The following is a 25,537-nucleotide window of genomic DNA, read 5'->3' on the forward strand; positions in this document are numbered from 1 at the left end:
AGAGAGCAGGATGATCCCTGGACTTGAGTAAGTACCTCAGGACCTACCTAAGCTCAGGGAAAGGCCATTGTACTCAGAGTGATCCCTACACCTTGGCCAATAAGACTCCTATGGGCTAACAGGGTATGTACTAACCTATAGCCCTTTCATGGGGGAACACAGGTAATGGTTTGCCTCCCAAGAAGCCCTTCTTAGAAGTCTACCCATGCAAAATACATAAACAATTTAAATTGTTCATAAGTCTATTCATTTATATGACTATTTTTTAAATTTTTAATACAGCACAAACTGTTTTAGTATTTTTCAAAGTGAGCCAAAAATGGAGCAGGACAGAGGATAAAAGTTTTCCTGAAAGTGCTGAAGTATGCAGGCTGTGATGTTTTCCCAACATTTCTAGCAGGACATCCAAAGAATACATCAGAGTTTATGAAACAGCAGCACTTTCCTCTTGTGCTCAGCCAGCTCCCTCACTGTTTCTGCCTCCCAGAGTCTTCACTTAGGGCAAAATATGGAAATTCTTCCATTAATTTGAGAACAATAGCACTGTTCCTCAGCATACTAAGTATTTTTCCCCAAGAAACAAAGCCTAGACATTTTTCAATAAATTAATATGCCTTCTTCTCACTCATAGGTGGGAACTGAACAATGAGAACACTTGGACACAGGAAGGGGAACATCACACACCGGGCCCTGTCGTGGGGTGAGGGGAGGGGGGAGGGACAGCATTAGGAGATACACCTAATGTAAATGACAAGTTAACGGGTGCAGCACACCAACATGGCACATGTATACATATGTAACAAACCTGCACGTTGTGCACCTGTACCCTAGAACTTAACGTATAATAAAAATAAATAAATAAATAAATTAATTAATTAATATGCTTTGTAGAAGCCCAAACTTTTTCTAAAGTTCTTCCAAATCTACTTAAGGCTTATAAAAACTCTGCAATTTTCCATGTGGGAAAATACTGAACAACATCAAAGTGTTGGTGCTCACACAAGAACTGTGAATTATTTTTCATGACCATTCCCAGTGTATGGAAACACACACATGTTGAAATATGATAAACTTTAAGCCCAGATGATTAGGCTTCTCATGTACAGTAACATTTGAACTTTTGGAAGGTCAACTTGATCAGCCTCTGTGCATGTCTCCTCATACTCTGTAACTTAACCCCATACCAACAACATCGGTACTCTCAAATATGTCACCATTTCTGCATTTCTTATTGACACACTTAAGCCTTTTACTTATGGAGCTTTATTTTTTCAAATTTATATTTATATTTGTAAATTGACATATAAAACTGTACGTACTCATCATGTACAACATGATGTTTTAAAGTATACTTTCATTGTGGAATGGTTACATTTAGCTAGAGCTCTAAATTATGTAGATTTCACAAAAACTCAGTTACATCTCTCTTTTTTGTCTCCTCTGTTTTGTTTTTCTTTTTTGGTGGCATCTGCCTTGCTTTGAAATTACAAGTAAATTACAAGATGGGAGCAAAGCAACGTACCATCTTAAGATATAATTTAACTATTCTTCTTTCAAAACTGACTAAGGGAAAATAAGCTCCTCTGTTAGAATTGCTCATGACTTGATTTCTTCAGCAATGAAAATAAATAAGACAACATGCACACAGTTTTAAGTTATAAATTCTGCCTAGTACTTTTTCTCTGTCCAAATTATTGCATATACACATGCCCCGAGATGTGACACCTTGAGAAAGACACAATTGCACCAATGTATTATTCCAACCAGGAATGCATAACCTGAATCTAATCATGAGAAAACATCCAACAAACTTAAAGTATATTCTGTTTTTTAAAAAGACTGTGTTCTTTAAAAATGTTAATGTCATAAAAGATAAAAGATGGCTATAAAAATGTTCCAGATTAAAGGAAATTAAAGAAACATGACAACTAAATGTGTTACATAATCCTAAAGTGGATTCTGTGAGAGAGGAGAAAAAATGCTCTTATGAAGGATATTTTGGGTTTGTTGAAAAAACTGAAATATGAATGCCAGATTCCATAAAAGTATTATATCGATATTGAATATACTCCAGCTAATAACTGCACAGAGATCTGCTTAAAGTATATATTCATTCTTAGGAAATATACACTGAAATATATAAGGGTAAACAGGCCACAACACATGCAACTTATCCTCAAATGGTTCAGGAAAAAAGAGGAGAATGTGACAGCAAATGATAAAGCACATGGGGTAAAATGCAAACAGCAGGCGCATCCAGGTAAAGGTGTAGGAATGTTCTTTGCACCATTCTTACTCTTGTATCTCATCTGTAAATTTTAAATTATTTCCAAATAAAGTTTTAAATTTTAAAGTAAATTATAAGTCAAATATTGCTAAATATACTTGTTTTTGTTTGGTTTTGAAGTTTTGTTTGTTTGAAGTCAACAAGAAAGGTATCCTTCCTTCTTAGGATAACATATTTATTCAGAATAGCTGTCATCAAGAAAGCCATAGGAAACCAAATGATATGCTGTACTGCCTAAAGTCTGCAGAATTGACACAGCATCCTTACGATTTCTGTGCAATGGTTGTTCTCAAACTCCAGCATGGATCAGGAACACCTGCAAGACTTACTAAAATGCAGATTGTTGGGCCCCATTCCCAGAGTTCCTGGGAGGTATGTCTATGGTGGAGTCTGAGAATTTGCATATCCAACAAGCTCCAGGTGATGCTGATGCTGCTAGTCCAGACCATACATTGAGAATCGCTGCTATGAAGTATAGTCTGGGCCATGCATTTTCTGGATGGTTTCCTAAAGCTAGAAGAAATAGATTGGTTTTATTGATATAACAACAGGTCTGGTCTTTATTACACAATTAAAATTGTTATGCATCTTCAGTTTTGAAAATCAGTTTAGATGCTGAGAAGATATACTAATGGGTAGCCAAGTTAAAACTTGCCTAACAAGGATCACCAACTTGGATTAGCCAAGAAGACAGTTAATGATGGAATTAATACAGGAAGTGTCCTTCAATATCCATTCTTTTCTTCTTCTATAGCAAAAGAGCTTCCAGTTTGGGACTGGGCACAAAATAAAAATGACTTCTTGCCTGCTGGGAAGCTGGGTACAACCATGTGGTAAGTTTCACCAAGAAGATGATATGTCAGTGGCATAAGAAAATTTCAAGATACGTTCTATAAAAGGGGAGCAGAGCCTTTATTCTTCCCCTTTAAGAATGACAGTGCTTTTATCCTCCCTTTTAAAAAGAAAGGGGTGTCATTAGCCTCCCCCTTTTTCCTCCTTCCTCTGGCTAGAATACGCACATAGCTAAGTCAGAAGTGCCATCCAGGATCATGAGGTGACCTTGGGAATGAAGGTCACAAATGGTGGAGCATCACATAGAAGAAGCTTGGGCCGCTCTCACTGTGTAACTCCCCACTAACCTGTGACTATCTCCAGACTTAAAAACAAGAGACAATAGGGGCCGGGCACAGTAGCTCATGCCTGTAATCCCAGCACTTTGGGAGGCCGAGGCAAGCAGGTCAGATAAGGCCAAGAGTTCAAGACCACCCTGGCCAACATGGTAAAACCTCATCTCTACTAAAAATACAAAAATTAATTTGGCATAGTGGTGCATGTCTGTAATCCCAGCTACTCAGGAGGCTGAGGCATAAGAATCGCTTGAACCCAGGAGGCGGAGGTTGCAGTGAGCCAAGATCATGCCACTGCACTCCAGCCTGGGTGACAGAGCAAGACTCTGCAAAAAAAAAAAAAAAAAAAAAGAGAGAGAGAGAGAGATAACAAACTTCTATCTTGGCTAAGCCATTGTCATTGGGGGTGGGGGCGGATTGGCTATCATTCACAGCTGATCTTAATCTTAATATAGAAAGACTAAACTACAACAACAACAGGAATAATTCAGAACTTTTGAAAACACCACCCTTTCTAGAATCCAGCTAACCAACAGAGACTCAATACTGGAACAATTAAATGAAGCTAACCTGACAGAGTGTCCTGGCTTGCCTGAAGAGCCAGGTTGGGCATGTAGTTTAGTTTTTAGTTCTAAGGGATTCTGTGACTTTCATCAAAGAGACAAAGAGTTTTGTACTCAAATAGTTTCTGAAGATAATGACTAACAAGACTTTAATAGATGATGGATGGATGGATGGATGGACAAACAGAGAGTGAGGAAGATATATGTATATATATATATGTGTGTAAGATCTATGTACATGTATCTTCTCAAACTCCAGCATGTATCAGGATCACCTGTAAGACTTGTTAAACGAAGATATATGTACATATGTGTGTATATACATATAAAATATACATATCAAATTAGCATGTAATCGTTCAAGCATGGAAGAAGGCAGGGAATATGGGGAAGATTTAAAGAGTTCCTCCAAGAGTCAAAAGATGAAGATATAGGCACATATGACAGTCACTATTGGAATTCAAAATTTTCTTCTTACAATTTTTTTAATTAAAATATGCTGAAAAAAATACTACGGAAGAAAGTGATGAGAAAGCTGGAAAAACTTCAAAATAAGCCAGAAAACTAGCGGTCACATACAAAATTATTTCTCTTGATAAAAAGGAGCAAGAAAAAGGTACCAAGATTTTGAGACAAGATAAGAATAAAGGGTTCATAGGAATAAAAAAATATAGCCTTTCTCTAAAGCTGTACAGATTTTTTTAGGGAATGGTAAAGCTATATATACATGCAGATAAGAAATTTAACAATATCAAATTTCAAAACTGTTTACATGACAAAATTTATTTTCTTAAGCCTTTTTTTTTTTGGTCCCTTTCTTAAATAACTCAGGATACTTTCTATGGAAACAATGATATATGAATTCCTAGGTTAACATAACAAATCCTGTTTAATTTTCATTGCATCATATTTTTCCCTGAAAAAATAACAAGAAACACTACCAATGTAAATATATCCAGTTCTAAACTTTTGAGCTTTTCTTCCCCCCAAGTTTTTCTCAGTCCATCTGATCCCAGCCCACCTCTCTTCACAATTGGACCCATTACAAATACCAAAATGGCCTCCATTGACCTCAACAGGCTTAAAATTTTTCAATGTCACTTTTAATTTATATGAACACAAAATAGTCTCATTCTCAAAAACTATCTGTGCTAAATTTTACTGAGAAGCAGAAATAGTAAGGAGAATTAATACAATTATATAAATTTATTTGCAATTGAATGTTGTATTCTTTAATATTAAGCTGTAGCAAAATAATATTAATAATTCAAATATGAGGGAAATTGACTGCAGGTAATAAAAAAGATATGGAATGCCATCAACAGAAATATATTGAGACTGGTGAATTGAAGGCAACTCAATATCTGACCACTGAAAAGATTTCCATTTAGCTGAAATCCCAGTGAAATCTGAGCTGGGCTGTAATAATGGGACCTGACACTGGCTACAACAAGGAATTCAGGACTCCATCAATATCTTTATGAGTAATTCAGTTTAAAATTACCAAGTAACCAAAAGTGAAAACTTGGAGAGGATTGAAAATCAAAAGAAAATGAACAATATCAACCTGGAAGTTAACGTTGTCAATCACTATGTAGATGGCAGAATTAATGCAAAAAAAGAAAATCTTTATCTGTAGTTGGCCATTCCAGACAGGTCAGCTAATCAATACCTACTAAGTGGCAGCACTGTGATAAACTACACACCTAGAGAGTCTCATATTAGAAAAAAAAAAAAAAAAACAGATGGAATGAGATGACAATCCTGAAATTCCCAAAAAGAAACTTCACCTTGATATGTCAATGATATTATTCTGTGGAGCATATCAAACAAGGTAAATTCTTACACTTTTATAAGAGTGAATGGTGCTCCAAAGAATAAGGTGTCTCCTGTATTCTAAAAGAAGGGATTTAAAGGGAAGGGCTTCTTTTTTGCAGGTACTGCAAGTTGCCCTGAATCTTTAGATAGATTACCAGAATCAGAATAATAAACCAAAGCCCTACTACTCTGAAGATCTTTTGCTTAATAAAGCTATATGCCCCTAAAAATAAACCAATGGAAGAAAATACTTTTCTTACCTTGTCTTTTAATTTTTCCATCCAGCTTCTCACTAGGAAAAAAATAAGATAATAAAATGAAATAACCATCTTTTACTTATAATTCATGGCATTAAGTTAATTTGACAAATTAAAGAGTTTTTTGTATTAAATACAGTAAAAGGATTAACAATATAACATAATGACGATAATGGCCTTATTTTTATTTCTACTTATTTAGAAATGCAATGGAGAGCACAAACATCCCTCATATCATTATTACATAAATGGAGAATATTTTTGTTTGCTAAATGTTTTTTCTATTATTATTGAATGATTAGTGGGGAGGTGTGGGCAAAGCGAAAATCACCTTTAAAATATCAAGTTCATTTATTCTCTGACACTTTTTCTTTGGCTTATTTCTCATCTTTCTCAGTTTGTAAGCTCAGTGGGAATGCTGCGCTTGAATCAATATCAGAGGGCAGAGATTAAGGGAGGAAGGGAAAATAAGCAAGCCCAGGTTGCCCAGAGCTGGCTCCAAAGAGAAGCATTTGCAATCATATTTGAAGAAGCAAGGATTGGATGAAAGGCAAGAATAAGAAGTATTTCAGAAAGACATATAACTTGTGAACTGTACCATTCTATAGCAATACAACCACTATGAAAAATAAAAGCAATGACCAAGTAATATTCACAAAGCCAACTGAAAAAGGCTGATCAACTATGAAATTTTATGTAGACCATAGTTACAGCCATTTGGGAATACATAAATAAGCCAAGAGTAGAAGGAAGCATCAATTTCATTTTTGAAATATGTGTTAGAATGGCCACGTTAAGGTTGGTTTGAGTTTGTTGGTGGTTTTTTACCCTAATTACCTTTCAAAGTCATAATAATGTTTCAACATTGAATGAAGATTTACTTTTAAAAGCATCAGACAGGAGGAAAAAAAGACAAATATATTCTCATTTTACCTTCATTATCAAACAAAAGAAATAAGTGTAAAAAAAACTTTTAAGATTTCCTGAAATTTTCTCTGCTTTTCAGAAGCTTCAACAGACAGGAAGGAAGGAAACAGAGTGGAAAACTTTTATTATGAAGAGTCAGATAGTTAATATCTCAGGTTTTGCAGAGCGTATAGTCTCTGTCACAACTACTCAACTCTGATGTTGTATAACACAAAAGTGGCCGTAGACAATACATAAATAAATGGGTTCAGCTATGTTCCAATAAACTTTATTTATGGATATTAAAATTTGAATTTCATGTAATCTTCAAATGTCATAAATATTTTTCTTTTGATTTTTTTCAACCCTATTAAAATGTAAAAAGCATTCGCATTCTTTGCTCAGGAGCCATATAAAAGCATGCAGCAGGCTACATATGGGCCATGGACTACAGTTTGCTGGCCCCTGGCATAGATATACTTTAACCAAGAAGTCGGTGCCTCCATTTACAATCTGACTCTAGTAATAATATATCTGAAAATACTGATGATGGCTAGCATGCACACAGCTCCACCCTTTACAAAGCATGCCACATGCATTGCATCACTTGAACAGCAAACCAATGACAAACATGAAAGTCAGGTCAGATTATGCTCAGGGAAAAGATGAGGAAACTGGGGCTCAAGGGAAGCTAAGAGACTTGCTCATGGTTAACCAGAGAGTAAGGTGTCATTGGGGCCGAGCACGGTGGCTCACACCTGTAACCCCAGCACTTGGAGAGGCAGAGGCAGGTGAAGTTCAAGACCAGCCTGGCCAACATGGTGAAACCCCGTCTCTACTAAAAATACAAAAAAAATTACCAAGGCGTGGTGGCAGACACCTGTAATCGCAGCTCAGGAGACTGAGGTAGGAGAATCACTTGAACCCAGAAGGCAGAGGTTGCAGTGAGCCAAGGGCACACCACTGCACTCCAGCCTGGGCAACAGAGTAAGACTCCATCTCAAAAAAAAGAAAGAAAGAAAGAAAGTCATTGGAACTCAAACCTGATTTTAAAACCCAGGAGTAAGACTTTCGAACTACCAATTTCTTTTGGTGATACTACCACTGTTCTGCTCCTTCAAGTTGAAAATGTGAAGCTACCTTTGGCCCTTCTACCTCCCTTAGGTCCTGGCTTTAATCTCTCATGCAGAGCCCTTGTCAAGACCTCTCTCTTGTCCTTCCCTCCTAGCTCCCTCTGTCTCAAAGGGATTCAGACAAAGACGGTGGTGATCAATCAGGATAAGAGCAGGGTCATGGGGAGGTCAGAAGAAGAAAGCCTAGGAACCTCAAGAATAAGGCCAGGGGTTAGTGATTCTAGGAGTGGTTCCGTGGAGAAGTAAGATCCACCGCTGATTCACTGAGTGAATCTGGAGAAACTCTGGACCCACAGCTTCCTTATATAGAGAGATGGCAACATCTGTCTTGCAAGATTGTTGTGAAGATTAGAAATAACAAATGCAAAGTGTTTAGTACAGAAATCCAGGGCAGGAGGGGAAGAAAGGTAAGTAAAATACGAGTATTTTGTAAATACGTCTCATTTAAGCCCATGACACATATTTAAATAGAAGCAAGATAATGTTTCCAATTTGTTCATTCAACAAATATTTATTATGTACATTGTGTTCGATCAGGCATTATGCTCTAAAGTGGGTCAGCAGAAGTTATAAGACCTAATTCCAGTGAGAAAGGGGTTAGGCCACCAAGTCTATAAGAAGTGGATGACAAGCAGCAATGTAGGGACTAAAGAGTGAAGAACAGAGGAGGAAAGCCAGTTGCTAGAGTGCAAGGCAGAACCCACCAACCTTTGAAGCAAGATGCTTGCAATCAGGGACTCAGTTGGGTATTATACAATAAATAGGGCAAATCAAAAGAGAGGTGGAGGCAGGAATGTTAATATGAGCACCTAGTGGAGGAGGCAAGATGGTGCAGAATAGGGATAGCCTGGAGAAGAGGAAAAGGAGGCAAAGACCAGCCCAGGGTCCAAGGCACTGATAGGCTTGTGTACTGTAGGAAGCTCATCGCCAAGAGAAGCATTTTAACTTAGGCCTTATCAATCCAGGCTTCACCGGTAAACTGTCCACATCTTAGGTTCTTAGAGTAAATTTCACAGAGTCCTACTTTGGATGATTATCTAATGAAGAAATTCTCCACTGAAGGCAAGAAGGCACATCAGTGCAAGATGTTTACATGTGCACAGATATCTGAAGGAGCATGTTCCATTGATCTAGTTCAGTAATTCATAACACAGAGTGGGAAAGCCAGGCAAAATATTCTTGGCTGGAGAGAGAGGATAGTGAGTAAGTATTCTGGTGGGCACAGGTCTAAAAAGGTTGAGGAAACACTATTCTTAGACTGTGAGCTTGATGACATTTCCCCATCTAAGAACATGAGACCCCGGAGCGCCATGCCTTGTGCTTCTCAGGTATCCGCCAGGGTCCTCTGCATAGTATTGAACACTCAGGTGCTTAATAAGTATTTTTCCTTCTTTCAGAAAATATTTATTTAAGTGAGTTCACAATCTTTGAGTAAGCATGATTCTCATTCATGAGGATCCTGTAAACAGTTTTCGGTAAAACATTCAAGTTGCAATAAATATAAATTTTATGCAATGAACATTTTAAAACTTAAGGAGTAGAAAATGATAAGAGAATGCAATGCAAGAAGAAAGAAAATTATAAAGAAATATTTTTAGTTAAAAAAAAAAAAAAAAAGATGATGGCCAGACACACTGGCACATGCTTGTAATCCCAGCACTTCGGGAGGCCAAGGCAGGCAGATTGCTTGAGACCAGTCTAGGTAACATAGCGAGACTCCTGCCTCTACAAAAAATAAAATAAAATTTAAATTTAAATTTAATAAAATTTAAAGATGATTATTTATAAATAGGAAAACTGACAACTGTAATTTTTAAAAAATAGACAAACATCACAGTAATTAAAGAAGTATGAATGGATACAGCTTTTCAAAGGTAAAGAGGTGGAGGGGAGATTTGCAATCCATATCAAAAGCTTTATTAAGGTTAAAATGTTTTATATGAAGCTCCAGTTATAGAAGACATGTATCTTAAAGGATTAACCATGAATGTGCACAAAAATTTTGTTTAAATCATGTTCACAAAATATTTATAATAAAAAGGAGCATGTAAACAATATTAATATCCAACAAAACAGGATTGGTTTAAACACTCAAGGGAAAACAAAACCTTAGGTTATGTCTATAGAGTATTATATGAAAATAAAATTATTTTTAAAATACTTAATGGCAAGATGTTGTTCAACTTACACATTGCAAAGGAAAAAAACAGTGTAGTATAATGTAAGCCTGAGTTTGTAGATAAAAAATATTACGTGTAAAATTTGAACAATGCACATCAAAATGTTAACTGAATTAATCAATTCAGTTGATTGATTAATTGGGTAGTAGAATTATCGATGATTTGTCTTTTATTCTCTGTATTTTTCAGATTTAGCAAATCACAATTTCTCACTACTTTTAAATTAAGGAAAAAAACACATTTTACAACAAAACCCCCAAAATTCCATAAACCTTTGCAAACTAAAGTTGACAGTAGATTGCTGATAGTGAACACAAGAAGTTAGAGCCTTTCCAGTTGGCTCACAGCTCAGCCCACAGCTACAAATTCACTCTAATCCCACTGTTTTGTTATCTTTCTTGAAATTTTATTTAATGCAAATCCAAGAGCACAGTGCTATAATAAGGCCTCTGGTCTCCTTCTAGTAGAGAGAAAGGTACACAGAAAAGAAAGTAGGCATGAATAAAGGTCATATATGACAAGCCCACAGCTAATATTATACTCAATGGTAAAAAGCTGAGGGCCTTTCCTCTAAGATCAGGAACAAGACAAGGATGCTCACTCTTGCCACTTATATTCAACTTTGCAGTGGAAGTCCTGGCCAGAACAATTAGGTAGGAGAACAAATAAAAGCCATCCAAATTATAAAGGAAGAACTTTGGCTGGGCACAGTGGCTCACACCTGTAATCCCAGCACTTCAGGAGGCTGAGGCGGGTGGCTCACTTGAGCCCAGGAGTTCAAGACCAGCCTGGGCAACATAGCAAAACCTTGTCTCTACAAAAAATACAAAAATTAGCTGGGTGTAGTGGCACACCTGTAGTCTCAGCTACTCGGGAGGCTGAGGTGAGAGGATTGCTTGAGCCCAGGAGGTTGAGGCTGCGGTGAGCTGTGTTCATGCCACTGCACTCCACCCTTGGCAACAGACCAACACCCTGTCTCAAAATAATAAGAGGAAGAACTTAAATTGTCGCTGTTTGCAGATGACATAATCTTATTTGTATAAAAATGTAAAACTAAAAACTCCACCAAAAAAATGGTTAGAAGTCATAAACAAATTCAGTAAATTTGCAGGATACAAAATCAACATGCACAAATCAAGCATTTCTATATCCTACCAACAAATTATCTAAAACAGAAATCAAGAAAACAATTCCATTCACAATAGCTACAAAAAAAATACTCAGGCATAAATTTAATCAAGGAGGTGAAAGACTTCTTCACTAAAATCTATAAAACATTGATGAAAGAGATTGAAGAAGACACAAATAAATGGAAAGATACCCCATGTTCACAGACTAGATTAATATTATTTAAATGTCCATATAATCAAAAACCATCTACATATTCAATGCAATCTCTACCAAAATCCCAATGACATTTTTCACAGAAATAGAGAAAAACGATCTTAAAATTTGTATGGAACCACAAAATAGCTAAAGCAATCTTCAACAGCAACAACAACAAAAAAAAACAAAGCTGGAGGCATCAAAGTACCTAACTTCAAAATATATTACATAACCAAAACAGCATGGCATTGGCATAAAAACAGATACATAGACCAATGGAACAGACTCAAGAGCCCAGAAATAAATTCATGCATTTACCATCAATTGATTTTCAACAAAGGTGCTAAGAACACACAATGGGGAAAGGACAGTCTCTTTAATAAATTGTTTTGTGAAAACTGGATATCCACACGCAAAAGAATAAACTTACAGCCTCATCTCACACCATATACAAAAATCATCTCAAAATGAATTAAAACTTAAATATAAGACCGGAAATTATAAATCTACTAGAAGATAATAAAGGGGAAAATCTTTATGACACTGGACATGGCAATGATTTTTTGGCTATCACTCCAAAAGCACAGGAAACAAAAACAAAAATAGAAAACCGGGATTTTATCAAACTAAAAAGCTTCCATATAGCCAAGGAGACAACCAACAGAGTGAAAAGACAAGCTGTAGAATGGGAGAAAATATTTGCAAACTATATATCTGATAAGGGGTTAATATCCAAAATATATAATGAACTCATACAACTGAATAGCAAGAAAACAAATATGGGGGAAGGACTGAATAGACATTTCTCAAAAAAAAAAAAGACAAACTAATGGTCAAAAAGTACATGAAAAATGTTCAACATCACTAATTAATTTGCTTATCAGTGAAAAGCAAATTAAATGTACAACGAGATATGAATTCACACCTATTAGAAAGGCTATTATCAAAAAGACAAAACATAACAAGGTTTGGCCAGGATGTAAAGAAAAGGAAATCCCTGTACACTGTTGGTGGCAATGTCAGTTGGTACAGCCATTATAGAAAACAGTATGGAGTTTCCTCAAAAAATTAAAATAGAACTATCATGTGACCCTGCAATCCCACTACTGGGTACATATTCAAAGGAAAACAAATCAGTATGTTGAAGAGATATCTGCACTCTCATGTTCACTGCAGCACTATTCACAATACTCAAGACACAGAATCAAGTGCCAGTCAACACATGAATAAAGAAAATGTGGTTACTGTATATAAACACAGTGGAATATTATTCAGCCATAAAAAAGGAATAAAATCTTATCATTTGCAGCAACATGGATGAGCCTGGAGGACATTATGTTAAGCAAAATAAGCTAGGCACAGAAAGACAAATATCGCACAATCTCACTTATATGTAGAATCTGAAAAAGTATAAATCACAGAAGCAGAGAATGGTGGTTACCAGGTGTAGGAGGGGGTCACGTTGGAGAGATATTAGTCAAAGGATATAGATGGGAGGAATAAGTTCAAGAGATCTATTGTACAACACATAACTATTGTTAATCGCAATGTATTGTATTCTTGAAAATTGCTAAAAGAGTAGATTTTAAGTGTTCTTACCACAAAAATGCTAAGTATGTGAGGTAAGACTAAGTATGTTATTAGCTTGATTTAGCCTTTCTACAATGTATACATATTTCAAAACATCATGTTGTTTTGAATTTCAATAGTCATGTTGATAAATATATATGATTTTTATTTGTCAATTAAAAACTAATTTTTTTATAAAAAAGTAGTCATGGGTTATTAAAAATAGATCCTCTCTCATGCTCGCCAGCACCCTCTTGTGTATACGAGTCCCAGGTGTAGCAACTTGCCACTCTCCTAGTTTTTCTGCTGAACAAAAAACGTGTGAAGATCGAAGATGCAGCTGCAGATAAAATAACATTTCCTCCACCCTGGCCAACAAGGTGAAACCCCGTCTCTACTAAAAATACAAAAATTAGCCGAGTATGGTGGCATGCACCTGTAGTCCCAGCTACTCAGGAGACCAAGGCAGGAGAATCGCTTGAACCCAGGAGGTGGAGGTTGCAGTGAGCCGAGATCACGCCACTGCACTCCAGCCTGGGTGACAGAGTGAGACTCTGTCTCAAAAAAATAATAATAAAATATAATTTAAAAAAATAAAATAACATTTCCATGCATCCTACCAATGGATGTGTTTTAATGGGCTGTGGCTGAAAAGTATCCCAAACTGTTTATTTAGAGGAGTATGTTTAATTTTCATTTATTTCCAGTGACAAAGTTTTATGGACTATATTTATCCCAGATATATGCATAAATTCCCTTTTACTAAAGGGGTAGGGATGGGAGCCAGAAGAGATCCAGGATTTGTCTGAAATAATAATTAAGATTTGTTAAACACCTCACAAAAATTCTGCAAGGTAGATACTATTATCCACTATTTTACAGATGACGAAAATGAAGCTCAAGTAGTGCTCACAGTCACACAGCTAAAGAGTAGCTGATCTGGAATTGGAACTCAGACCTTTATGGCTCTAAAGCCTGTTCAGTACACCCATGGGTCACTCTGGGGAGGGGTGAGGGCAGGTGGGCCAAGGAGACCTTATCACAGCTCACGGGGCTTTCCTGAGTTCTGGATATGGGGGATACTCAAGCTGGGAGGCAGCGTGTATTAGCTCACCTGGTATTCTGACTCCTTTACCTTCTCCTCTCTGTTCCCTCGGACAAATGTGCTTCTCTTTCTGCCTCTGTATGTGTCTCCCTCTGTCTCTGTCTCTCATTGTGTCTCTGCATATCACATTGTGATTTGTGTCTGTCTGTCCTTTCTCTCCCTCCCCTTGTCTCTTTCTCTATGACTCTGTGTCTGGATGTCTGCCTGGTTCTGTTGCTCTATTATCTTTCTCTCCCTGTCTCTCTCTTCCTGTCTGTGGTGTGTGTGGGGTGAGGGGACTCTCTTTGTATATGTCTTTCTCATTCAGAGAAAATAAACTGGATCTCTTAGTTCCATGTTCGCCAAGGACTTTTCCAACTCAGTCCTGTGTGCCAGGGTAGCAGCATCCTTAGCTCTCCACTGGGCAACAACCAACTGAGTGGCAGAAATCTTAGGGTGAACCTTAAAACTCAGAATGAGCAATGCTGAAGAGAGAGAGAATGATTTATTATAAGGCGTTGGCTCATGTGATAATGAAAACTGAGACTTTCCAAGATCTACTGCCTGTAAACTGGAGATCTAGGAGAGCCACTGGTTTAGTTCCAGCCTGAGTCCAAAGGCCTGAGAACCAGGAGAGCTGATGTAGTCCAAAAGCCTGCAGGCTCAAAACCCAGGAAAAGCTGGTGTTTCATGCCCGAAGGCAGAGGGAAAAAAACAATGTCTCAGTTTTCAGGCTGTCAGGCAGGAGGAATTGCCCCTTTTCATAGGGCAGTTGGACTTATTGTTCCATTTAGGCCTTCAGTGGATTGGATGAAGCCCACCTACATTAGGAGAGTATTTACCCAGTCTACAGATTCAAATGCGATACGGTCTGGCTGTGTCCTCACCCAAGTTTCATCTTGAATTGTAACTGCCACTATCCTCACATGGCTTGGGAGGGACATGGTGGGAGATAATTAAATCATGGGGGTGGGTTTTTCCCATGCTGTTCTCATGATAGTGATTAAGTCTCACAAGATCTGTTGGTTTTATAAAGGGCCATTCCCCTGCACATGCTCTCTTGCCTGCTGCCATGTAGGATGTGCCTTTGGCTCCTTAGCCTTCTGCCATGATTGTGAGGCCTCCGCAGCCATGTGGAATTGAGTCCATTAAACCTCTTTTTCTTTGTAAGTTGCACTGTCTCAGGTATTTCTTCATGGCAGTATAAAAATGGACTAATACAAAATGTTAATCTCATCCAGAAACACCCTCACAAACACGACCAATATAGTGTTTGATCAAATGCCTGGGCACCCATGGTCCAGTCAAGTTGACACATAAAATTATCCATCACAGAGTGAGACTGGAGGTCAAGATCATAATCCTGGTTCCCCAACATTTAAAGACCAGCCAGAGGAGAAAGGGCCAGGAGAAGAGACAGGTAGGGAATGGTCAGAGAGGCTCAGAAACCTGGACTGTTCATATGAAACAACCCAGAAGAGCTCGTTCCAAGCATTTATGAGGACATTTTCACATTTCATTGATCAAACAAAACCTTTGTTCAGGTTAGCCTTCAGTGGATTGGCCAGAAACACAGAGAAGGTATCACCCTAGGAGCCATCTGCAACCAAGGAGGGCTGCAAGTATATTAATACACTGGTATAGTATAGTAGTTTCCTAAAGCTACTATAACAATACCACAAACATAGTGGAATAAAGCAACACACATTTGTTATCTTATATTTCTGGAGGCAGAAAGGCCAAAAATCAGACTCATGGCCTAAAGTCAAGGTGTCAACAGGGTTAGTTCCTTCTAGAGGCTCTAGGAGAGAATCTTTTTCCTTGCCTTTTCCAGCTTCTAGAATCCACATGCAATCCTTGGCTCATAGCCTATTCCTCCATCTTCAAAGTCAACAGCATAACGTCTTCAACTCTCTCTCTCTCTCTTCCCCACCGCCACTCTCCAAGCTCTGCCTCCCACTGTCATATTTTCTTCTCTGACTCTAACCCTCCTAATTCTCTCTCAGAAAGACCGTTGTGATAATCTCCCCATCTCCAGGTCCTTAAGTCAATCACAACTGCTAAGTAGCTCTTGGCATGTAAGGTAACATATCCCCATGTTCCAGGGATTAAGAGGTAGACATCTTTTGGGGAAGCCACTATTCTGCCTCATTACATCAGGTAAATCCCTGAGTTTTCCTCATTTCTGACATGTGTTCTACACAGCTTCCCAGAGAATCCCCAGCAGCAAGGAGCTCCAGCAGTAATCCATTCATTAGCATCTCCTCTATTGATTGGCTTTCCACCCTCCCCACCTCACTTCCTCACTCCCTCTCCATACTTCCATACTTCCTGGGATCACCTCCCAAATAAACTCCTTATACCCAATCCTGTCACAGGGTCTACTTTTAGGGAGAGCTCAAACTAAGACACTAATCTAATTCAGTCACCATATAGGCAAGCTGGCCCTTTGCCATACCAATTTCATTCATTTTGTACATTAAAACCAACCACAGACATACCTTGGAGATATTGTAGGTTCAGTCCCAGACCACCATCATAAAGCAAATGCTGCAATAAGATATGTCACACAAATTTTTTGGTTTCTCAGTGTCTGTAAAAGTTATATTTGCACTATAGTATAGTCTAGTAAGTATGAGATTGCATTATGTCTAAATAAACACATCCATACTTTAACTAAAAATACTTTATTACCAAAAAATGCTACTGATCATCTGAGCCTTCACAGACTATTTTTGCTGGATGAAGGGTCTTCCTCAATGCTGATGGCCGCTGACTAATTAGGTGGTGGTTGCTGAAGGCAGGGGTAGCTGTGTCGATTTCTTAAAATAAAACAACAATGAAGTTTGCTGCATTGAATGAGTCTTCATTTTATGAAGGATTTCTCTATATATGCAATGCTGTTTGAGAGCATTTTACCCAGAATGGAAATTCTTTCAAAACTAGAGTTAATCCTCTCAAACCCTGCCACTGCTTGGTGAGCTAAGGTCATGTAATATTCTAAGTCCTTTGTTGTCATTTCAACACTGTTCACACCAGGAGTAAATTCTATCTCAAGAAACCACTTTCTTTGCTCATCCATAAGAAGCAACTTTTCATCCATTCAAGTCTTATCATGAGACTGCAGCAATTCAGTCACATCTTCAGGCTCCATTTATAATTCTAATTCTCTTTCTATTTCTAACACATATGCAGTTACCTCCTCCAATGAAGTCTTGAACCCCTCAACGTCATCCATAAGGGTTAGAATCAACTTCCTCCAAACTCCTGTTAATGATAGCTTGTCCTCTTCCCATGAATCATGAATGTTCTGAATGGCATCTAGAAAGATGAATCCTTTCCAGAAGGTTTACAACTTACTTTGGCCAGATCCATCATGAATCATTATCTATGGCAGTTATAGCCTTATGAAATGTATTTCTTAAATAATAAGACATGAAGGTCAAAATTATTCCTTGATCCATGAACTGCAGAATGGACATTGTATTAGTAGGCATAAAAACAACATTAATCTCCTTGTACATCTCCATCAGAGTTCTTGGGTAACTAGGTACATTGTCAATGAGCAGTAGTAATAATTTGAAAGCAGTCTTTTTTTCTGAGAGTAGGTCTCAACAGTGGGCTTAAGATATTCAGTAAAACATGTTGTAAACAGATGTGCTGTCATCCAGGCTTTGTTGTTCCATTTATAGAGCACAGGCAGAGTAGATTTAGCATAATTCTTAAGGGCCCTAGGATTTTAGGAATAGCCAGTGAGCATTGACTTCAACTTAAAGTCACCAGTGGCATTAGCCCCTAACAAGAGAGTCAGCCTGTCTTTTGAAGCTTTGAAGCCAGGTACTGATTTCTCTCTTGCTATAAAAGTCCTATATAACATCTTCCAATATAAGATTGTTTCATCTGCAATGAAAACCTGTGGTTTAGTGTATCCACCTTCATCAATGATCTTAGCTAGATCTTCTGCATAACTTGCTGCAGCTTCTACTTCCCTCTGTACTTTTATATTATGGAGGCAGCTTCTTTCCTTAAGCCTCATGAACCAACCTGTGCTAGCTTCCAACTTTTCTTCTGCAGCTTCCTCACTTCTCTCAGCCTTCATAGAATTTAAGAGAGTTAGGGTCTTCCTCTAGAATAGACTTTGGCTTAAGGGAATGTTGTGGCTGATTTGATCTTCTACACAGGCCACTATAATTCTCTCCACATCAGCAGTAAGGTTGTTTCTATCTCTTATCATTTGTGTGTGCACTAGAGTAGCATTATTAATTTTCTTCAAGAACTTTTCCTTTACATTCACAACTTGGCTAACTGGTGCAAGAGGCCTAGCTTTTGGACTATCTTAACTTTCAACATGCCTTCCCCACTAAGCTTAACATTTATAGCCTTTGATTTAAAGTGAGAGATGTGTGTCTCTTTCTTTCACTTGAACACCTAGAGGCCACTGTAGGGCTTTTAATTGCATTAATTTCAATATTGTTTTGTCTCAGGGAATAGGGAGGCCTAAAGAACGGGAGAGTGATTAGGGAATGGGCAGTCAGTAGAACAGTCAGAACACACACAACATCTATCAATTAATGTCACCATCTCATATGGATGCTGTTGGTGGCACCCCAAAATTATTACAGTAGTAACATTAAAGACCACTGATCACAGATCACCATGATAGATATAATAATAATGAAAAAGCCTGAAATATCAAGAGAATTACCAAAATGTGACACAGGGACACAGAGTGATCCCATGCTATAGGGAAAATTGCACCAACAGACTGGTTGAGTGCAGGTTGCCACGAACCCTCAATTTTTAAGAAATGCAATATCTGCAAAGTTCAATAAAGTGAAGGGAAATAAAATGAAATGAGCCTGCATTACAATGAACAGAATGAGGCATATAAGGAAGGCAGGCAAAATGGCCAAGTTCAAGGTAGAAGCCATCTCTGTTTATCTAAATTAATTCTAACTGAAGAATTTCAGACTACTTGAATTTATAAAACATAGCACTCCCATATAGCATTGTGTGAGATATACTTTTAGCTAGATTCCTTAGGTTCCCATTGAATTTTGAGTTATAAATATAGTCTCTTTAATAGAAAAATTTTCAATATCACATCTTTCAAGGTGGGAAACCTGATTGTTATCTTAATCAATGAAAAGAGAAATGCATGCTCCATCTAAATAAATGAAATATTAGAGCATAGTCCTTTGTTCAAAGCATGTGTAACTAAATCTCAATTACAGTATTTCTACAATGTCAAGAAATAAATGGAGACCAGCTCTTTTTCTTTCTTGTTATTTAACCATAAATGCTATTTCTAACACAAGAAATGTTTTTTCCAACTTATATAACACATTTAAGAATAACAAAACTTACTAAGTTTTAAGTATTATCTGCATGTTTTTAAAGAATCTTGAGTTTTTCTAGCTACAGATTATTCTCTAATGATGCTAAATTTACCTGCTTCAAAATCACACAGAAACTCTGTCTATAATAATTTGCTCTTCACGTAATTACAGAACAGCAAGATTCCAATAAATAGAATGACCCACTTCTTTGCACAGGGCTAAGTGAACATTAATCGTCTATCTAAGAAGCAATTAATTCTGAAAGCTCTGCACTGATATTTACAAAGAAGGGTGCAAAGAGCCCAGGTACCCTAATCTCTACTTTCAAGTAATATTAAGAATGTCTTTAGTTAATTGCAAGTTTAGGAATGATACTAGATACCTAGTGGGAAGATGCAAAGAGAACGTCCTGCAATCAACTGTACATCCTGCCAGGGTTATTTATTAGTGCTAATAATACTGATAAACTATAAACCACATTATCACAACTCTTGTGATGAGAAGGCTGTCATGAACTTCAACCATAGGGAAATATATGACACATAAATGAGGAAGAAAGTATCCCTCAATGTGTCTTCCTTTTTCTTCCCAAAAAGGAAAGCAATAATATTCAACATTGCTTCCCATTATTCACCAGGGGAGAAAAAAAAAGTATTTGCCTCCCCCTATGCTTGATCATGAAGCGGAAAAAAAAAATCACTTCTCTTTACCTAAGCAACCTTGAAGTTTCTGCTGAGCACCAAGGTTTCTGATCTATGATTTTACCACCCAGCAGCAACAAGTGCATGCTCAGGGAAACTGAAATTCTCATTCTCATGAGATCTCTTCTCACATTTGCACTACCTGATCTTCAATTCATTGGTGAAAAAGAAAATAGTTTGGCCTTCATACTTTATTTTTAACAGAAAGTTTACTGCTTTCTGAAGTTCAGTATCATCAAGCTTCCAGTGCAAAGTCAAGTTTGTGTGACTTGCTTACCAGATCTGCTGAATCAAAAATTTGCCATCTTGAGATATAACCGAGGCTTTAGCAACCATAAAGCCCATCAGCTCTACCCTCAGTCCCTCCTCATTCTCAATTTTAGGTAAGGTGATAAGCCACTTTAGCATCAAGACAAGGTCCCCAAGCATTCTTCTCCTTTATATAAATTTGGGGGCTTCCACTGATAAAAAGCCATGGCTTGAACATAGGGCAAAGGTAAATAGAAGATTGCCTACTGACCAAGTGGCTGTAGTCTCTTGTTTGCCATTGGCCCTTAGCTGGAGTTTCTGACATGATTCTACTTAATCAACAAGAAGCTCCCACCTCCCTAGTGCCTTGACTTAGCCAGCAGATGAAATCAATTAGAAGTGGAGTGCTAAATAAGTACTAGAGTGGTTTTCAAGGAAGCTTCAGGGTTTGTTTTCCAAAAGTTCCATTTACCAGTTCATAATCTTCACTCCTCACAATAATGGGCAAATACCAAGCTGCACACTCAAGAGAGATTAAGGCAAATCTTTGGTTAAGAACACCTGAGCACTGATGACTAAAGAGTAGACAATTTCAGTTATGTAAGATAAATAAGTTCTGGAGATCTATTATACGGCATAGTGCCCATAGCTAATGATACTGTATTGTACACTTAAAATCTGCTAAAAGGGTAGATCTTTTTCTTTAAGTTGCAGTTTTGAGTTTTATTTAAAGAAGATACTTGTAACCCTGAGTTGGTAATGGCTAGGAGAAGAAGATGGAGTCCTCTGAAGTTTTGTTTCATTTTCTAATTTAGAACATAAGATCTATTAGTTACATGTTCAGGGAGGACACCTCCCTTTAGGTTTTGGTACTGAGAGGTTGGTGTGACTCTTTGTGATGTCTTGAAAGTCATAGGCTATCTCTGTTAAAATAATATTTTTTTAAAGGCATATGACTTGGTGGTTTGATATAGGTAAACATGATCACCACAATCAAACTAATTAACATATCTATTAACATCTACACAGTTACCTGTGTGTGTGTGTGTGCTGAGAAAATTTAGCTCATGTTCTATCCACTAAGACAGTAGATGTTAAGTGTTCCTACAACAAGTAATAATAATAAAGGGGACAAAAGGCAACTTTGGGAGGTGATGGATATGTTTATGGCTTTGGTGGTGATAGTTTCAGGGGTGTATACTTGTCCCCAAACTCATCGAGTTGTATACATTAAATATGTACAGCTTCTTATACATCAAAAGCATTACAGTTAATATGCTCAAAGGCAGAACTTTTCTGCCATCTAAATAGATTACTTGAAAGTTTCCTTGAGCTCTTGATCCTTAGGAAAAAACCTAAAGGTCTTGACAGACCATTATAGGATAGCAGGTGAACAGGCCAGACTCTCTTTCCCCTTTTTTAATCCCTTAAGCAAGCATGTTACACACCCCTGGTAGCAACTGTTCAACTATATATGAAGAAGTACAGCCAGTCTCAACTTCCTCATTCCTCAGTCATTGGAAACATGCTTCCACTTGGCCAGGTTCTTAAGATGCTACCCCTCCTGTTTGTTACATTTATTTACTTTCCCTCCTGCTGGAACATTTGTTTCCTTGTGTGATCTGTAATTTTTCAGGTGAACTTATTTTTCATGGAGGGTGTTTTACCCATGGGAATCCTGTACACCCTGAATTGCAGCAGTGTCACTACAAATGAACAATTTCTTGTTTGCTTGTGCTGAGTACACCAGGAGCTTCACCCACCTGGAACAGGGTTGCACATTAATCTCTGAGTTGGGGATTCTTGCATCAAGAAGTCAAGGCTGGGGCTTCATGTCTTTTATTCTCTCTCACTCAGAGCCTCAGAAACAGAGGTGCTCCTTTGATGTTCCCCTGGCTTGCTGACAAGTAACTTTTCCAGACCTCCTTTCGCTGAGGGGCAGCTTTTCCAGGGTGCCATCTTTGTGCAGGGGTTTCAGCTCCCATTCCCTGTCCTCCACCAGCCAAGGCCATGTCTCTTGATGCCATGTTGGTGTTAAACATCCCAGCATTATGTTTGGTCCAGTGTCCCTGCCAGGACACCATGGCTGCAGTGCAGGAGGCCAGTACTCAGGCTTCAAGTTGCCTCCACAGACAACAACAGATTTCCTTCCAAGATCAGTTGCATATTTAAAAATTTTGTTGTAACGTATCCAGCACTTCTCTGTGTTTGTAGCAGGATGTAGAAATCCACAGTCACTCAGTCCACCATGCTGCTGGAACCAGAAATCCAGGCTCAACTTCTAACCAGGTGTTTTTGGTTTTTAATTTATTGAGGTAAAATTCACATAACATAAAATTGACCATTTTAAAGTGTGCAATTCAGTGACATTTTGCATTTTCACAATGTTGTACAACCATTACCTCTATCTAGTTCTAAAATATTTTTATCAACACCCCCCCTCCAAATACACACATACACACAAAAAAACCCTAGACCTAAAAGCAGTCCCTCTCCATTCCCCTCACTCCCCAGCCCCTGGCAACCACCCATTCACTTTCTGTCTCTATGGACTTACCTATTCTGGACATTTCATATAAGTTGAATCATACAACATATGACCTTTCGGTCTGGCTTCTTTCACTTAGCATAACTTTTTTTTTTTTTTCCAGATGGAGTTTCACTCTTGTTGCCCAGGTTGGAGTGCAATGGCGCAATCTCGGCTCACCACAACCTCCGCCCCCCAGGTTCAAGCGATTCTCCTGCCTCAGCCTCCCCAGTAGCTGGGATTACAGGCATGTGTCACCATGCCCAGCTAATTTTTGTATTTTTAGTAGAGACGGGGTTTCTCCATGTTGGTCAGGCTGGTCTCGAACTCCTGACCTCAGGTGATCCGCCTACCTCGGCCTCCCAAAGTGCTGGGATTACAGGTGTGAGCCACCGTGCCCGGCCAGCATAATATTCTTAAGGTTAACCCACACTGTAGCATTTATACAAATGGCCAATAAAGGCATGAAAAAATGCTGAACATCATGAGGCATTAGGGAAATGCAAATCAAAACCACAGTGAGGTAGTACTTCATATCCACTAGGAAGGCCATAAAAAAAGAAAGAGAAAATTAACAAGTGTTAGTGAGGATGTAGAGAAGTTAGAACTCTCATACGTTGCTGGTGGGAACATAAAATGATGCAGCCACTGTGGAAAAACCTCAGCTGCTCCTCAAAAAGTTAAATAAAATATTGACATATAACCCAGCAATTCCACTGTTAGGTATATACTCACAAGAACCGAAAACAGGTCCTCAAACAAATACGTGTACACGAATGTTCATAGCAACACTACCCACAGCAGCCAAAAGGAGGAAATAACCCAAATGTCCATCAACTGATTGATAAACAAAATGCGGTATAGACATACAGTGGAATATTATTCAGCCCTAAAAAGAAATAAAGTTCTGATACATCTACAAAATAAAATTTTTATGTACCTTGAAAACATTACACTAAGTGAATGAAGACACTAAGGGAATGTGCTAAGGGATAGAAGATGGGGTAAAGAAGCTATGTGGTCCCTCCTAGAAGCTGGGTGGGTGCCATAGAGAGGGGAGAGAGTAGAACTCATATTCCATTCACCCATACTTCACCCATCCTGCCTCAGTGCCCATGTGATACCCACCTGATGCACTCCCTGCTGCCCAGCATTACAGGCAGGCCAGCCAGCCTAGATGGCCAGAAATAGGAAGTCCTCTTACTGAAACAATTTCTCACTTCTTATTTCTTTGAAGTAAGTGTAAAATGTACAGAGTCAACCACTAGGCAAAAAATGGAGGGAAAAGAAGCAAAACCACACCTGTGTTGATTTCCCAATTTTTTTATCGTGGTAATATACACGTGACATAGAAATGACCATCTTAACCATTTTCAAGTATGTAATTCAGTGGAATTAACTACCGTATATTCATAATGTCATCAGCACCATCCATCTCCAGAACTTCCCATCAAGTAACACTGAAACTCTATACCCATTTTTTAAAACTCTCCATTCTCCCCTCCTGCTAGCCCCTGGGAATCAGCATTCTGTCTCTATGAATTTAACTACCTGAGATGCCTCACATAAGTGGAATTATATAGTATTTGTCTTTTGGGGATGGGCTTGTTTCACTTAGAATAATGTCTTCAAGGTTCATCCCTGTCATATTTCAGAACTAACTTCCTTTTTAAGCATATGTCAGAATTTCCTTCCTTTTTATGGATGAATAATATTCCTCTAGATATTGTTTATCCATACACCCATCAATGGACACTCGGGGTACCTCCACATTGCAGCTACCATAAATAATGTCACTATGAACATGGATGTACAAATATCTATCTGTGACTCTGCTTTCAATTTTTTTGTATATATACCCAGAAGTAGAATTAGGTTATTACTTGATATGTGTTTTCATTCAGTTAGAAGAGGAATTCAATAATGTAACCAACTTCTATTGAGTATCTAATAGGTACCAGGTACTGGGCCAGAAAATAGCTATAAAGTGTTATGTATTTATGAATTAAAATGAAGACTGCAGTTAGGCTTAAAAGGGAGGAAGAGAAATTGAATTGTGTTTCTTCAGCAGACATAATTAAATCCCAAAGCTCTGAGCATCGATTAGACACTAGAAATAAAATCTGATTATCCCAGAGACTCATTTTCATATACTTTTATGAGTTGCCTATATGGCTGTGAATTAGCCATCAACCAAAATGGATTTGTTTTTACCCAGTAACAAACAAACCTTGAACCCATTTACAAGTTTGTTACGAAGAGGCAGCCAGAGCTTTTGTTTAATTGGCAATATAATCATGTACATTATTAATGATAAGTTTATTTTCTTCCTAATGCAGAAGTTAGGCCATTAACACTGCAGCAAGTTACAAATGTACACTAAGAGAGCCTGACCAAGTCAGCCACTTGCTCCGTGGTCCAACATTACAGAGAAATATTTTTCCAAGACTTGTGCGAGGTTTTATACTCCC

At 37.9% G+C, this 25,537-nt stretch overlaps 1 protein-coding gene across 1 annotated transcript in view; it reads right to left on the reverse strand.

Moving 5' to 3' along the window:
- ARMH4 (armadillo like helical domain containing 4) overlaps nucleotides 1–25,537 on the reverse strand; it is a 151,453-nt gene that overhangs the window by 5,303 nt on the left and 120,613 nt on the right. The window contains exon 6 of the mRNA NM_001001872.4: nucleotides 6,056–6,087. Within this exon, the coding sequence (NP_001001872.2) occupies nucleotides 6,056–6,087 (32 nt within the window). The remainder of the gene's footprint in view (nucleotides 1–6,055; nucleotides 6,088–25,537) is intronic.

This window comes from Homo sapiens, chromosome 14, assembly GCF_000001405.40.
Source record: "Homo sapiens chromosome 14, GRCh38.p14 Primary Assembly".
NCBI lineage: Eukaryota > Metazoa > Chordata > Mammalia > Primates > Hominidae > Homo > Homo sapiens.